We start from the raw sequence: 17,120 nt of genomic DNA on the forward strand, positions 1-17,120 counted from the left end.
GTTAGAACTGGCTGTTATTGGAAAGCTGTCCTCATAGAAGTGGGCTTAACTTCAGGGTTGTGGCTTGGGAGAGTCTCTTGTGGTAGTTCTTCTCATAAGGCAAATATACATGAGGGCTTTCCCTTCACGGCCTCCTGACTTCATTTTATTAGGATTTGACATAAGTGACTCTATATTGATTCTGACAACTTTCACAGATCCACACCCAGCCCACCCCCAACTGACATCACCTAGGGGTCTTTGCGGCCTGTTATCCCCGAGGACTTTCCCTGGCCAGCCTGTAAAAGTGTGGTCAAGCCCAAGAGTGGTTTCCAGCGGGCAGATGGGCCGGGTGAGAGAAGGATTCAAAAGCAGGTGTAGTCACTCTCTCCCCAATTTGAGCAGGGGGTGTGGGAATGGAGGGAGAAGTGCACACAGGTTCATCATAAATTACTTCCGGACCTGCCTCTAGTTAGAGAACACACAGCTTTCCAAATGGTATAGGTGACTAAGACGTACAATAGATGCTGTAAATTTGTATAAACACCAGCTATTTTGCATTTCAAATATTCTAGCAGGACAAAAAGGGACAGCTTTCCTCTTTATTCATTCAAATGTATTCTAGTCCTTTTGTTTGATAATGAATTTCTTACTCCTTCTGTGCTGGCTCCCTCTGCCCCTGGAGTGTTCCTTACTTCTCCTTCTGAAAGGACCCAGTGAGAGCCTGAAATTGGAGATGGTGTGGAGGAGAAGGGACCAGAGAGATCAAAGAGGTCTAGAAGGGCTATGGATTCACAAGGTTCCATGGCCCAGAAATGTCAGAAATCCATCATTTCTCACCCTGTTCCCACTCTGTTCTCCCTCTCCCTTCTCTCAAAACCACAGCTCCCTCTAATTGCCTTCCCATGTCTGCCATTAACAAGAGTTCCTTCAGTCTCAACCACAAGCCAATGTCTTCTCTGCCATTAACAAGAGTTCCTTCAGTCTCAACCACAAGCCAATGTCTTCTCTGCCATTAACAAGAGTTCCTTCAGTCTCAACCACAAGCCAATGTACTTCTCTGCAAGTACTGTTGCACCAGTACACTGGGTCTCCAGCCACCCACAGGGCCTTTGTAACATGAGGTCCCACCCTCTGTCCTGCACCACACTTGTCCTTGAGCCACCTTTGGTACAGCATCTCTAATATTTGAAAGTTTGAGATGGTGAGATGAAGAATAATTAACCAAGACTAAATGTTTAGAGTTTCCCTAGTTGAAGCCACTCAGGTGGAACGTATCACAGTGGTCACAAGGAGACGGCCCCCACTGTGCAGGGAAGAGCTGTCATTCACACCAGGTGAGGTCAGGAATAGACTGGGGCTGCTATAAATAATCGGTATGTTTGACATCATTTTAACTGCTCCAGGTAGGAACGACCGATGTTTCAGTTGAGAACCTGTGATGTGTTGGTGAGAAGTCCATTAGAAAGTAATTATTGGCCAGGCGCAGTGGCTTACACCTGTAATCCCAACACTTTGGAGGCCAAGGCGGGTGGATCACAAGGTCAAGAGATGGAGACCATCCTGGCCAACATGGTGAAACCCACTGTCAACTAGAAATACAAAAATAAGCTGGGTGTGGTGGCGGGCACCTGTAGTCCCAGCTACTCGGGAGGCTGAGGCAGGAGAACTGCTTGAAACTGGGAGGTAGAGGTTGCAGTCAGCCGAGATCTCACCACTGCACTCCAGCCTGGTGACAGAGCAAGACTCTGTCTCAAAAAAAAAAAGATTATTTTTAATAAGGGGTATTATTAAAATAATAATATAATTATAATATTAATATTATATTAATAACTTTATATTATTATTAATTGTCCCCATAGCACAAATGAGAAAAAGAAGTGAGAAGGTTTGGAACTTTCTGGAAAGAAGTCACTTAGGTATGTGATATTGTGATATACTAAGAAACATATATTTGGTCTTTGTCCCCAGTTTCTGGTATGGAGCTCCTAAAACCGTCGGGAATTTCCCAAGTGATGGGGGTTAGAGGAGTATCTTTCGCTATCAGAATCAGCCCTTTCCGCTGGGTGCGGTGGCTCATGCCTGTAATCCCAGCACTTTGGGAGGCCAAGGCAGGTGGATCACTTGAGGTCAGGAATTCGAGACCAGCCTGGCCAGCATGGCGAAACTCCATCTCTACTAAAAATACAAAAATTAGCCAGGCATTGTGGTGGGAGCCTGTAATCCCAGCTACTAAGGAGGCTGAGACAAGAAGATCGCTTGAACCCAGGACGCAGAGGTTTCAGTGAGCTGGGATCGCGCCATTGCACTCCAGCCTGGGTGACAGAGCAAGACCCCATCTCAAAGGAAAAAAAAAAAATCAGCTCTTTCAACCTTACCTGGGTTTACGCTAATGAAATGACACTGATGCCCCCTAAATAGCTTCAAGACCGGAGGAACCACCCATGCAATGAGAAGCTAGGAACCTGGGGTCCCACTCCCCACCCTCCAGGGAGGGAAGAGAGGCTGGGGATTGAGCTAATCGCCAGTGGCCAATGATTTAATCAGTCATGAGTACATAATGGAACCTCCATAGAAACCCTAAACCCTGGGGTTCTGAGGGCTTCTGGGTTGTCGAATTGCTTCAGGGCTGGGACATAGAAGCTCCACGCCCCTGCCCACCCTCGCCCTGGGCAGCTCTTCCGTTGACCATTTATGAGCTGTATCCTCTATAATGAACCAGTAATGGTAAGGAAAGCACTTTCCAGAGTTCTATAAGCCCTTCTAACAAATTATCAAACTAAGGAGGGGGTCTTGGGAATCCCTGACTTAGAGCTGACGGGCCAGAAGTGCAAGAGGCTGAGATTTGTGACTGATTGGCGTCTGAGGTGAAGAGGGTGTGTTAACTTGTGCGAGCTGCGTGTTAGAATTGAAGCGAATTGAACTGAATTGAAGGGCACCGGCCAGTGTTGGAGAAGTGGTTGGTGTGGAAAAACGCCCCTCAACATTTGGTGTCAAAAGTGTTGTAGGAAATGGTTCAGAGGCCGGAAGAGCAGCAGCTGGAATGTGGACTCAGCCTCTCCCCGCACATTCACTGCCTCACCCAGCCCCTGCGGCTGGTGGGTGTTCACTACTTACATTAATCAATAATACTGAGAAAATTGCAATCGGTATTTTTTTTTAAGCACCTCACTTGGTCCCAGTGCTTGAGTCACTCCCAAGGAAACTAAAAGGTGAAAGGAATTCAGATCTTTTCTTCAGTGTCTCAAAAAATGCCACAGAGAAAATAGACAAGCACAGAGAAGCAAGCTTTAATAACCTTTTTCCCCTTCTCTTTCTTAGTATCTCCCTAAAACCAACCACTGCTTCTCACAACACCATTCTCCCCCCACCATATAAGCCCCTTAAAAAGAAACCTCATCAGGCCAGGGGCAGTGGCTCACACCTGTAATCCCAGCATTTAGGGAGGCTGAGCTGGGCGGATCACCTGAGCTCAGGAGTTTGAGACCATCCTGGCCAACATGGTGAAACCCTGTCTCAACTAAAAATACAAAAATTAACCAGGCACGGTGGTGGGCACCTGTAGGCCCAGCTACTCGGGAGGCTGAGGCAGGAGAATCACTTGAACCCGGGAGGCAGAGGTTGCAGTGAGCCAAGATGGTGCCATTGCACTCTAGCCTGGGTGACAGAGGAAGACTACATCTCCAAAAAAAAAAGAAAGAAAGAAGGAAAGAAGGAAAGCAAAAGAAAGAAAGAAAGAAAGAAAGAAAGAAAGAAAGAAAGAAAGAGAGAGAAAGAGAGAGAGAGAAAGAAAGAAAGAAAGAAAGAAAGAAAGAAAGAAAGAAAGAAAGAAAAGAAAGAGAAAGAAAGAAAAGAAGGAAGGAAGGAAGGAAGGAAGGAAAAAGAAAGAAAGACGGAAGGAAGGAAGGAAGGAAGGAAGGAAGGAAGGAAGGAAGGAAGGAAGGAAGGAAGGAAGGAAAGAAATTCCCCAGAAGAACTCCTGGCCTTCTCTTCTCCTTCCTGCAAGTCTAGCAGAACTGGTAAATCCTCTCCTGCAGAGCCAAGCAGGCATTCTCTTTCAGGGTACATCTTGACTACTTTGTATATGTGCCAGTTTGTGAAAACACATATATGCACCAGGCACGCATGCACACAGGAACACACACACACACACACACACACACACACACACACACACACACACACACACACTAGCCAAGTTGGAAGGAGAGAACCAGCAGAGTTGGCAAGAATTTCCCAGGCAGAATGATGGGGGACAGATTGTGGACGGTATGCCATCATGGGGCTTGATTATATTATTTTGTCCCTGGCACACAATCTAAAAAGAAACAAGGAGAGGGCCCCATGCCTGGCAGGTGATGGTGGACTGTCAGGTGTGTGCCGGTCAGTCTTGAGAAGTCAGCCTCTGACCTGGAGAGGGAGGAGGGAGGAGGCCCCAGGTGTCTAGGTTGACCCACCCCCTCTTGATTTTCTGCCCTGAGGATAAAACTCCCTGGGGTCTCAGCCCAAAGAAGCTGCCACACCGTGTCAAAGACACTCACTGTCTTAATCATTTGTTTGTATTGCTCTGGTTATATTTTCCATAAGGTTTTGGTTCTTGTTATTTTGTTCACGTAAAAGATTTGTTTAGTATCCTACTTTTTTTTTTTTTTTTTGAGAGGGAGTCTCACTCTGTCGCCCAGGCAGGAGTGCAGTGGCGCAATCTCGGCTCACTGCAAGCTCCGCCTCCCAGGCTCACGCCATTTTCCTGCCTCAGCCTCCCGAGTACCTAATTTTTAAAATTTCATAATTGCCTGTTATGGCGTAGTGATATTTATGGAATATAGCTCTCAGTGTTTTCTTCTAAATTATCTCTTTACTGTCCTGGTTTTATCTTTCTCTTGTTTATCATTGCTATAGATTGAATTGTGCCCTCCCAGCCAAATTTGTCTATTAAAGTCCTTATCCTCAATATCTCAGAATGTGGCCTGGTTTGAAAACAGGGTCGTTGCCAACACAATTCGTTAACATGAAGTCCTCCTGGAGTAGGGTGGGCACCCGATTCAATATGACTGATGTCCTTGTAAAAGGGAACATTCTGACACGGAGACACACAGGTAGAATGCCATGTGAACATGAAGGCTGAGGTTGGGGTGATGCTTCTACAAGTCAGAGAACCCTGAACATTGCAGGCAATCCACCAGAAGCTGGGAGGGAGCCCTCAGAACCCTGGGAAGAAACGAGCCCCCTGACACATTGATCTCGGACTTCCAGCTTCCAGAACTGTTAGAGAATAAGTTTCTGTGTTGAAGCCCCCAGCTTGTGGTACTTTATCAAGGGTGCCCTGGAAAACTGACACAATCATTTAAAAATCATTTATGTTGTTCTTTCACTTTTTACTTTCTTTTTCTCCTTATATTTCAGTCTTGTCATTCCTACTTCATTTCTGTTTTTTAAAGTCTGCTTTGGCCGGGCGCGGTGGCTCACGCCTGTAATCCCAGCACTTTGGGAGGCCGAGGCGGGTGGATCATGAGGTCAGGAGATCGAGACCATCCTGGCTAACAAGGTGAAACCCCGTCTCTACTAAAAATACAAAAAAAATTAGCCGGGCGCGGTGGCGGGTGCCTGTAGTCCCAGCTACTCGGGAGGCTGAGGCAGGAGAATGGCGTGAACCCGGGAAGCGGAGCTTGCAGTGAGCCGAGATTGCGCCACTGCACTCCAGCCTGGGCGACAGAGTGAGACTCCGTCTCAAAAAAAAAAAAAAAAAAAGTCTGCTTTATCTCTGTGAATATTTGAATCTTTTCTTTCATTATTTTCAAACTTTATTTCTCTTGCTCCCTTGATTTTATTTTATTCTTTGTACCATGTAGCATATTTTGCCTCTGGTCCTCTCAATAGTTTACCAGGTTGGTGCTACTAGTGTTTGTCAATATCATCGCCTCTCTCCTTGCTGGGGCTTGGGTTACAGGGAAGAAGTGGGCCGGGCACGGTGGCTCACGCCTATAATCCCAGCACTTTGGGAAGCTGAGGCGGGCGGATCATGAGGTCAGGAGTTCAAGACCAGCTTGGCCAACATGGTGAAACCCCATCTCTACTAAAAATACAAAAATTAGCTGGGCGTGGTGGTGCACGTCTGTAATCCCAGCTACTCAGGAGGCGGAGGCAGGAGAATTGCTTGAACCCGAGAGGCAAAGGTTGCAGTGAGCCAAGATCGTGCCACTGCACTCCAGCCTGGGCGACAAAGTAAGACTCTGTCTCAAAAAATAAAAATAAAAATAAATGAGGCTCTCGCAGTGTGCACCCCACAAGCACCCAGGGTATTCGGTCTCTTTTTCCTTTCTCTCCACCTCCAATTTCCTGCAGCGAATCTCCTGTCTCCCTCAATGCTGATCTCTAAAAATTCCCCACGTGTTTATCTTGAGACTCCCAATCCAAACAGTTTCTCCGAAGACCATTATGATTCTTCAGGTATGGGTTAAACGTTTGACTATTGGAACATCTATTTTGTACATCATACACCATTGGGTCACAGCTGCCTCATGAGCATGGGCTCAGACAGCTTGGGTCAGGTTTAATGTTCTGCCCTCACCGTCTCAAACTCCTTAACAGCTTCTGCACTAGGCCCTGCAAATTGGGTAACTGCTTCTGTTCAGCATTTTGAAAAATCCCTCCTCTCATGTCTTTAACCACCAGATGCTGAGAAGTCACACAAACTTTGTGCTGTACATGAGCAGGTCCACCAAGAAAGGACCATTGTGCAAGGCTCAGGCAGGATGTCCCTGAACTCCCGCCGGTCTCCATGGACAGAAGCTGAGGAGAGGCTCTGCAGCCAGGCTCTTGAAAGCCTTTCTAGCCAGCCTACCTCAAAAGTAGTATGTTTCCAGTAGGGCTGGAATGCATCAATTTGCAAAAATGTACTTTTATAATCTCCAATACCTAAAAGAGAAGGTTGGAAAAAGAAAATAATTCTGTGATAGGTTGATGGTTGTTGGATGACATTTCAGCTCTCACTGGGGACTCAGAGAGAGCCAATAGGGGCTGGACATAGTGGCTCACACCTGTAATCTCAGCACTTTGGGAGGCTGAGGCAGGAGAATCACTTGAGGTCAGGAGTTCAAGGCCAGCTGGGCAACATAGTGAGACCCCATCTCTACAAAAAATCAAAAATTAGCCAGGTGTGGCAGAGCATGCCTGTTGTACTAGCTACCAGGGAGGCTGAGGTGGGAGGATCACTTGAGACCAGGAGGTTGAGGCTACAGTGGGCTATGATTACACCATTGCACTCCAGCCTGGGTGACAGAGTGAGACCCTCTCAAAAGAAAAAAGAAAGGAAGAAAGGAAGGAAGAGGAAGAGAGAGAGAAAGGAAGGGGGGAAGGGAGGGAGGGAGGGAGGGAAGGAAGGAAGGAAGGACGGAAGGAAGGAAGGAAGGGAGGAAGAGAAAAGAAGAGAAAGAAGGGAGAGAAGGAGGGAGGAGGAAGGAAGGAAGGGAAAGGGAAGGAAGGAAGGGAGGGAGGGAAAGGGAAAAGAGAAAGGAAGAAGGGAGGAATGGAGGGAGGAAGCGAGAGAGAAAGAAAGAAAAATAAACAAAGGAAGGAAGGGAAAGGAAGAAGAAAGAAAGGTCTACAGGCCTTGGTAAGCCCCAAACTTGGGATCCCAGCACCTGCAGCAGCCCCGAGCTCCCTGTGTACCCCAGTTCTGCAGTGTTTTCCCCCCAGCTCCATCCATAGACCCCATCTTGGCCTCAATCACCAGTCTACAGTTCACTCTGGCTTCCTTCCCACCCGATCTCCCTCCCAGGACTGAGACCCACCTTGACCCTCCAGGTACGAGCCTGCTTCCCTCCCTAGCAGCAGCCATCCTCGGAAACACGGCATCATCGCATTCCCATTAGTGGTTTCCTCAAAGAATCTCTCCTTGCTCAGCTGGGCCTGGCACACTTCCCAGCACCCTTCTTGCCTGGATTTCTCCCCACTGAACCTCGGGCCTTCGAAGCCCAGCTGCATTGCTAAGGCCAGCCTCACTGCCTGATTAGAGTCCCTCAGCCTCGTTGGCAGGTCCAGATCCTGGACGTAGATTCCCAGCTTGCCTGAGCAGGTTCTCCTTAGAAAGCAAAGCAGAACAGAACTCATGAATATGCAAAAAAAAGTATTTTCATAATCTCCAAAGCCCAAAAGAAGACATTTTTTGAAAATGATGGTACACTAGGCAGGTGAGTTGTTGCATGGCATTCTCTTTTTTCTCCAAAGTTTCATAAACATTTTCTGCTCGTTTAACAAAGAAGAAAATTTTATTTACCTTGCCAAACATTCTAAAGTATATCTGGACAGTATATTCTCAAGAATACCTGATCAATTTTTTAAAAATAAAGATAATGAGGTAAGACATACCCTAAGGGTTATCATAAAGCAAAACAAAACAACGACTGAAAAAACAACAGCAATAAAAACAGTACAATTGGCCCTGAAACAAACAAAATTAAAACCACACAGACACACAATGTGATAAATAAATGTAACGTGTTATAAAGGCAAAATTACAAACTAGTTAGAAAATGAGAGATTTTCCAGCAAATCATGTTTGCATAATTGGCTGAGTTTCAGACACAGAGTTAAGTTTGTTTTTTTTTTTTATCTTGAATGAAAATGGGTTCCAGATGGATTAATGATTTTAATATATAAAACAAAGTCATGAAAATAATAGGAAAGAAAACAACAGAAAGATTTGTATTAAATCAAGGCCAAATAGGGACTTCTAAGTACAACACAAAAGACACGCATGTCAACAGGAGAGTTTTGACCAGGGCAGCCAGACAGGGACAAGGCCAGCAACCTAGGGTGGAAACGGTAGCTCATATAACACGTGTGTAAGGATCTGAAATTATAAATCAAGCTAACAGATTGTTAAATTAAAGATGTTTTATCCTTCTCTATACTGTCATAAAACAAAAACATGAAATTCATAGAAAGCTATGCTTTTTAAGATTGGAAGTTAGCAAAATATCAAAGACTGCATGTCATAATGATTGTGTTGTGTTTGGGTATTCTGTTGCTGAGCCATCAATATGTGGGCAAGTCGTAAAACAAGCATAAATAACAAATAAAATGTTATATTTCATTCATACAAATTACTTTCGGGTTGGGTGCGGTGGCTCATGCCTGTAATCCCAGCACTTTGGGAGGCTGAGGTGGATGGATCACGAGGTCAGGAGATGGAGACCATCCTGGTTAACATGGTGAAATCCCGCCTCTACTAAAAATACAAAAAATTAGCTGGGTGTAGTGGCGCTTACCTGTAGTCCCGGCTACTCGGGAGGCTGAGGCAGGAGAATCGTTTGAACCTGGGAGGTGGAGGTTGCAGTGAGCCGAGCTGGCGACATTGCACTCCAGCCTGGATGACAGAGCAAGACTCTGTTTCAAAAAAAAAAAAAAATTATTTTCTTGCCTTCACTTCAGTAAAAATCACTACATTATTTTAAATTTTTTAACATAATTTATATATTCCATTGACTCTAACAATCCAAAGGATTATAAAGCAAAACTTAATGGCATTTTAAGTGTACAAAATTTGAATTTTCTTCTTCAAAAATATACATTGAATGAATATTAAAATCTAAAATTATTGTAAGAGAATGGCGTGAACCCGGGAGGCAGAGCTTGCAGTGAGCCAAGATCATGCCACCGCACTCCAGCCTGGGCAACAGAGCAAGACTCTGTCAAAAAAAAAAAAAATCTAAAATTATTTTAATTAGTTTTTGAAAAATATTTTTCTTCTAAAATATCTGTGATAACTTATTACAATTAAAAGGCAAAGTTTTAATTAGTGGCTATCAGAATTTTCAATCAAAATTTTTTGTGCAAAGATAAAATTTTAAATTTATTTTTGTTAATTAAATCTTACTAAATAATAAAAATGATACTATTTCCAATCCTAGCAATCACAGTCCTTGTTGCCAATATGAAGAAAGGGAATCTCATGCTTCACACCTGTTGTGTTTAGATATATATGTGTACAAAATACTATATATATAGAAATGGTATTAATCTTTTTTTTTTTTTTAGATGTAATTTAGCTCTTGTCACCCAGGCTGCAGTGCAGTTGTGTGACCTTGGCTCACTGCAACCTCCACCTACCAGGTTCAAGCAATTCTTCCACCTTGGCCTGCCCAGTAGCTGGGATTACAAGCGTGTGCCACCATGCCGGGCTAATTTTTGTATTTTTAGTGGAGAAGGGGTTTCGCCATGTTTGCCAGGCTGGTCTCAAACTCCTGACCTCAGGTGATCCACCAGCCTTGGCCTCCCAAAGTTCTGGGATTACAGGCTTGACACCGCACCTGGCCATGGTATAAATCTTATAGAGAGAATAATGTATGTGTGTATATATAAAATATTGTTTGTACAGAAATTATTTTAATCCTTATAAATATTCCTATCTAAAAAGATCTCCGGATTCAAGAATTTGAATCCAGGCAAAGAAGCAAGAAAACAGACATGCAACCCAACCAAGAGATTGTGCTTGAGCATGCAAGAACTGATTGAACGCGTACCTGCCATGAGACAGGGATTGACCAGGTAATCAATGTCTTTCTTCTCATCGAAGCACCTCTGTCTCCCGGTTCTCCACCCCAGAGCCACGTACCCCTTTAGCCTCGGCCGCAGCACAGCATATACACTGCCCTAGTGTTGGGACATGATCACCTTTTGTTTTGAGGATGTCGAGCAAGAGGTGAGGATTTTTTTTCCAGGAAGCCAAATAGTTTCAGTCACAACAGTTGTTGTTTAGGATACAGATCCCACTGTACCAGGGCCAGGCACACCCAATCCCCAAGTGAGCATTGGCTTTGACAACATTCAAAAATCACTTATTTATAAAGCAAACAAAACAAAACAAAAATTCCATGAATAAAATTTAAAAGCAAAAATACATCTGCAACAGACATGACAAACCAAAGATTCAAACCATAGTGCCACTACTGTGTGAAAACAAAACAAAACAAAACAAAAACAAAAAAAAATAAGGTTTTTAGAATTATCCCTAAAGGAAAATTGAAAGATAATGACACCAAGCAACTGACAAAAGAAAAACGATAGATGGCCCCAAAAAAGTCATTCAAACTTATTAGTAGCACTTGGCTTCCAGGGAAAGGGCCTGGATGGATTTCCTGGCAGGTGGCAGGCCTAGTGTTTGCAAGTTTAGGAGAAACAGGAATGGGAGTCCATGAGGGAGGGGGATTGGGAGGAGAGCCAAGGCCCCGAAGATCCACTTTCAGGAAGCCATGTGGGGTCATCACCGTCGCTGTCACAGAGAGATCCAGGAGGTGATGGACTTGCAGATTCACCTTGGGAGTCAGGAGATGCAGGAAAAGAGAGGCTGTGCTTTGCTTTGGACGAGGGCATTTTGTTACGTGAGAGGAGGACAGAGGATAACTATTACCCCTGTTGCTCTGTGGGCCCATTTTGTGCCAACCTCTGTGCAGGGCACCTTCAGGGGCACTTGTCTGAAACCCGACAGTCTTTTTTCTCATTTGCCAGTGACCTCTGAAAGAGCTGACTCTGTAAAATGATGGCTTTGCCAAATGCAGATTCCATGATCATTCAATAATCAGGGATTTGAAGCTGTTTTAAGTAACCATTTCTTCTACTAGCACAAAAATTAAAATCACCAGCTTTTGCTTAGATGTATTAAACTGGATGTCTAAAACATCATTTCTTCTTTCATAAAATACATAGCTAAAAATTTTCTGTTACCATGATTAACAAACTAGCAGTAAGCATTTAACTAGAAGTTCAGGACCAATGGCCAGTGAGGCTAAAATTAACTTGTTTTTATTTGCCATTAACTGTGCGAAACATCTTTCTATTTAACAATAGACTTCATAAGTCATTATTGGGAGTAAATATGACAAGAGCCAAGCCTTGGAAGCCACCCAAGGCTGCGGTAGGCTTGCCACCATATTGTAGGTTTATGTATTAAATGATAGAAGCCCAGATACAAGTTATAACACTTCTCTAATCCATCCTTTCCATAGCCACGTTCTCATTAGAATACTATGCTAAAGTAAGTGGCACTAATTTTATTCTAGATTTAACTAAACTGAAATAATTGCAATGCTCCATTTTTTTTTTAATAAAGAGACTATTCTCCATCAATCCAGTGGATTCTTGCACTCTGCTACTCTCCTGGGTCTCCCACCCATGAATAACCATCTACTTCCTGGATGAGCTCACCCAAGGTGTTAACCACCAGCTGCCTTGAAGAGTTTCTCCAAAGCATAATTTCTGCATCTGAAAATGTATCTGATTTTGCTAAATAAGCACTATCTAAAAGCACCAGGAAGAGTGCAAATTTGTATCCTTCTTGAGTCTGGAATAGCAGCCCCTGGAGAGACTTGATTCTAAAATACCTCAGGGGACACCTAACTCCTGCCAAGGTCATTGTCCTCTGCCTCCTGTGAGCTTCACAGATAGAGTGTCAGCGTCCTTTGGCCGTTCTAAGACATGCAGACACTAAGGCCTTAGGAAAGCCAACTTTCATCTGTTTCTTGATCTTCTCTAACGACCCATCCCAAGGTTTTGTCGCTAATATCATTGTTGCCGTTTTGCACTGTGCTTTCTGCCACTGAACTAGAATGACCAAAGCATTTTCATGAAAAAGTTGACACAGTATACATAGCCAGACCACTAATACACCTGGATAAACCAATAACTTTAAATTTATAAATTTTATTAAAATTTTATTTGAAAACAACCAGGAGATGCTGCTTCACCTTGGGTCACCCTGCTGGTGCTCATGCATGGCTGTACTTACACAGTTAGTCTAAATTCACACCATACCTAACACTTCCATGTTCTAAGGGTTAAAGATAATAAACCTAAGCATGCTGGGACATAGTCGGTGCTTGCCAAGTGTCTGTTTAGTGTTAATTATTGTGTTCACCTAGACTATTTGGGGTTTTTCATTTGTTTGTTTGTTTTTTATTACCAAGTCTCGCTCTGTCGCCCAGGCTGGAGTGCAGTGGCACGATGTCGGCCTCCCTAGTAGCTGGGATTACAGGTGCGTGCCACCACCCCCAGCTAATTTGTGTATTTTTAGTAGAGATGGGGTTTCATCACATTGGCCAGGCTGGTCTTGAACTCCTGACAAGTGATCCACCTGCCTCAGCCTCCCTAAGTGCTGGGATTACAGGCGTGAGCCACTGTGCCTAGCCAACCACTTGGTTTTTATGATGCTGTCTGAAGCAGAATACATTTGTGAGCTCTTAAAATGCTAACTGATCTTCCACATTATCCCATGACTCACTCCCAGCCTCAGGCTTCTGGCAGGAAGGGCCGGTTTGGCTGGAGAGAGGACTTGGCTTTGGCACTAGACTCTGCACTGGGGCAAGGCAGATGCTGGGGGAACTTACAGAGATGCTGAGTCCAGTGGGAGCCCCCATGTTCAAGGGATGCACAAAAACACCCAGACATGGCTCAGGAATTCCAAGGCCAGATGGTGCAGGGGGCACTGATGTGGGACGGAAATGGTCAGACATCAGGCAGGAAGTTAACACTGGTCTGGGTGGAGGGAGGACAGCACAGAGATTTGTTAGATTTGGGTCCCTGGGATGGAGACACCAAGCCCCAGTGAGACAGGGCCACTGGACCCATTGCAGGGATGGAAACAAGGACAAAGGCCAAGGTCTAGGCAGAATTACCTGTACCTGCTCAAAGGCTCAGAAACAAGAGGAGATTTATTTCTAATGAACCACCTAGTCAGAGTTGGGCTGGTTGCAGAGGGGAAACCTTGCCAAGCCTTTCGGGGTTGGGCTGGTTTAAGCATTTGTCCAAGAAGGAAGGGGAGAAATAAATGTCCTTGTGGCCCCACCTAAAGGAAGAAGAGGGCCTTTAAGGCTGGGCTACATTTGAGGTGAGAACTGACATAGAGAATTACCATTAAGGCCAGGTGCAGTGACTTACCTCTGTAATCCTAGCACTCTGGGAGGCCGAGGTGGGCAGATCACGAGGTCAGGAGTTCGAGACCAGCCTGACTAACATGGTGAAACACTATCTCTACTAAAAATACAAAAATTAGCCAGACGTGGTGGTGCACGCCTGTAATCCCAGCTACTCAGGAGGCTAAGGCAGGAGAATTGCATGAACCAAAGAGGCAGAGGTTGCAGTGAGCCAAGATCACACCACTGCACTCCAGCCTGGGTGACAGAGAGAGACTCCATCTCAAAAAAAAAAAGAAAAAGAAAAAGAAAATTACGATTAATAGAAAGGCATTCCACCCAGGCTATAAAATCATTTAATTTGAACCAACGTGATTGTAAAAACCACTATTGTAAAAACTGGGATAAAGATGTAACATTAAACACTGGATTTCTCTCCAAACTGGATGGCTTTTGAAATCAGATTTCTAGACATGTGAATAAGTACATACAGCAAGAGAATATAACCACAAGGAGACTTTTGTTTAAAAAACTCTTACTTCAGATTCTCACTTCTTAAATCATGGCTAACAGTTCCTACTACTGTTAGAAAAAGCTGTAAGCCTTTGAAATTCGTCAAAATAGAAAACAAAGGATTACTGTGTGTTCTTTCTGGGGATGGCCATTAACAATCTCTGAGCTATTTTACAACTCTTTAATTAGAAAACGGATACAAATTAGTTTTGCCCAGATAGATGCAAATTTGTTGTATCTGGTGGAATGCAATTATTAGCCACCCATTTTGCATCTACAGTTCACTACTGAACAACCTGGGGTTAGGGACGCCGACCCTCTCCCCAGTTGAAAAATCCATGTATAACTTTTGACTCCCACAAAGCTTAACTACTAATAGTCTAACTGTTGACTGGAAGCCTTACCAAGAGCATAAACAGTTGATTAACACATATTTTGTATTTTACATGTATTATGTACTGGATTCTTCCAATAAGGTAAGCTGGAGAAAAGAAAAGGCATTATTAAGAAAATTGTATGGAAGAGAAAATACATTTACAGTGCCGTACTGTGTGTATTGATACCATAAGCTTCCTTTGTCTGTTTACAAGGTAAATCAGCTGTCTGAAACAGCAGGCAGCTGCAGCTGCAGACCTCAGTCTATGGTACATACCGAGCAATTCAACTTCTTCTTGTAAAGTCATGACTGATCTCTGCTTCTTGGGAGCACTTCCAGCATTCCTAGTGGCCCTTCATATGGGTCCCATGGTGTTATTCAAGGTTTATGGTATTGCACTAACCACAGTGTAAACTCCACGAGCACCACGAGAGATCGCTTTTTACTGTGATGTGCAATTTACTGCAGAAACGAACTGCTCACAGGGAGATAAGTGTCATATGGCATTTTAAGCAGATACTGGCAACACTTGAGCTCACCTCAATAGCAACAGGAGGTGGCTACAAGCCTGTCACAGTGGTACAGCAAGGGTTGCAGTTAATTTCATGCAGTTATGACTTCATGCTGCATCATTACATTTGTTCACCTTTTTCTCAACTGTGAATGGTGCCATATACAATCTGTGCTTGTGTGTATGTTTTGATAAATTTTAACTTTCTGTAAAGGATTTGTGTATACTTTATGGTAGTAAATGGTATAATAGACTAGTATCTACATATGCTTTATGTATTCATGACATACCTAACTTTTTCTTAATTTTTTCTATATTTGTAGGCTATGCCATTCATCTACAAGTTTTTCAAATTATCAAAAATCTCCAAAAAATGTTTCCAACATGTTTACTGGAAAAAAATTACGTGTAAGTGGACCTGTGCAGTTTAAATCCATGTCGTTCAAGGGTCAACTGTATCTGGAGAATCATCGCTTTTTTTTTTTTCTTTTTTTGAGACAGAGTCTCGCTCTGTCACCCAGGCTGGAGTGCAGTGGCATGATCTCGGCTCACTGCAACCTTTGACTCTCTAATCAAGTGATTCTCCTGCCTTAGCCTTTCAAGTAGCTGGGACTCCAGGCATGTGCCACCAGGCTTGGCTAATTTTTGTATTTTTAGAAGAGACGGGGTTTCACCGTATTGGCCAGGCTGGTCTCAAACTCCTGGCCTCAAGTGATCCTCCCACCTCAGCCTCCCAAAGTGCTGAGATTACAGGCGTGAGCCACGGCACCCAGCTGGAGAATCATTTCTGCATCTCTTTTCTGCCTTTATGCCTGTGGTACTTTGAATTCTCCTTGGAGCAAGTTGTGACATCTTACTGGTTCCCTTATTCGTTAATGGGTTAAAGAAAATCCTTGACATGTGTTTATTTTATATTAGCCTGAGAATTATGATTAAACTCTCTTTTAAATATTCTCTTTTAGCACAACAGAGCATTCAATCCATTGAAAAGATGCAAGGCACTGTGTATGTGTCCTAGAACATAAACAAAGTCAAAAGAGGCAGCCTTTGTGACAGAAGAACTGAACTGTTGATTGAAGACTGGGCTCCCGTCCCGGGGCTGGCAGTGGCCGTGCAGGCAGCCGTGGGCAAGTCTGCGCCCCTCTCTGACTCTGTTACCCCTCTGGGGGGATGAAGGTGAATTATTGTAGCCCTGATTCCTGTGGTTCCACACCATCAAATCCAACTAGATTTATCTTTGAATGTGTGGCTTACAATCTAATACAAATGTAACATCCTGTCTTATCCTAAAGGATGAATCCAAAACATCAAAATTGAGTTAAAATACAGTTTCCTAAATAAAGAGCAAAAATATCTGTTTACCCATGACTAAACATGAGTGCAGGGCACTCCCCAACAGCCAGATTCTGGTCTTGTCCCTCTTTGAGGGACAGCTACTCCAGCAGCTGAGGACTGCCAGGAACTTTAGTGGGACTTTGATCACTTATGAAGGGAATGTAAGGAGGAGAGGCATGGCTGCGGGACTGCACAGGCAGAGCCTGGCTGCAACTGAAGTCAGGTACAATGTAGTCCCCAGAGAGATTTTTATTTTGTTTATTTTTATTTTTTATTTTTGAGACGGAGTCTAGCTCTGTCGCCAGGCTGGAGTGCGATCTTGGCTCACTGCAACCTCCGCCTCCCAGGTTTAAGTGATTCTCCTGCCTCAGCCTCCCAAGTAGCTGGGATTACTGGCATGCGGCTCCATGCCCAGCTAATTTGTATTTTTAGTAGAGGTGGGATTTCACCATGTTGGCCAGGATGGTCTTGATCTCCTGACCTCGTGATCCGCCCATCT

The 17,120-nt window shown here is 44.0% G+C and overlaps 1 long non-coding RNA gene across 1 annotated transcript, besides 1 other annotated feature; it reads left to right on the top strand.

The window, feature by feature from the left end:
* The first annotated feature begins 2,605 nt into the window (after positions 1 to 2,605).
* Positions 2,606 to 16,647, top strand: LOC105373937 (uncharacterized). Its single transcript, XR_924000.3, has 4 exons — positions 2,606 to 2,706; positions 10,397 to 10,527; positions 15,610 to 15,694; positions 16,249 to 16,647. It is a non-coding gene; the product is annotated as an uncharacterized LOC105373937 (long non-coding RNA).
* Positions 3,800 to 4,363: an enhancer, noted in NCBI's record as "H3K27ac-H3K4me1 hESC enhancer chr2:235810653-235811216 (GRCh37/hg19 assembly coordinates)". NCBI's record gives its function as "activates a minimal SCP1, AML or CMV promoter by ChIP-STARR-seq in primed H9 embryonic stem cells {active_cell/tissue: H9 hESC(primed)}" and the evidence as "EXISTENCE:reporter gene assay evidence [ECO:0000049][PMID:30033119]".
* Positions 16,648 to 17,120: the final 473 nt, after the last annotated feature.

The sequence above is a fragment of the Homo sapiens genome, chromosome 2, assembly GCF_000001405.40.
Source record: "Homo sapiens chromosome 2, GRCh38.p14 Primary Assembly".
NCBI lineage: Eukaryota > Metazoa > Chordata > Mammalia > Primates > Hominidae > Homo > Homo sapiens.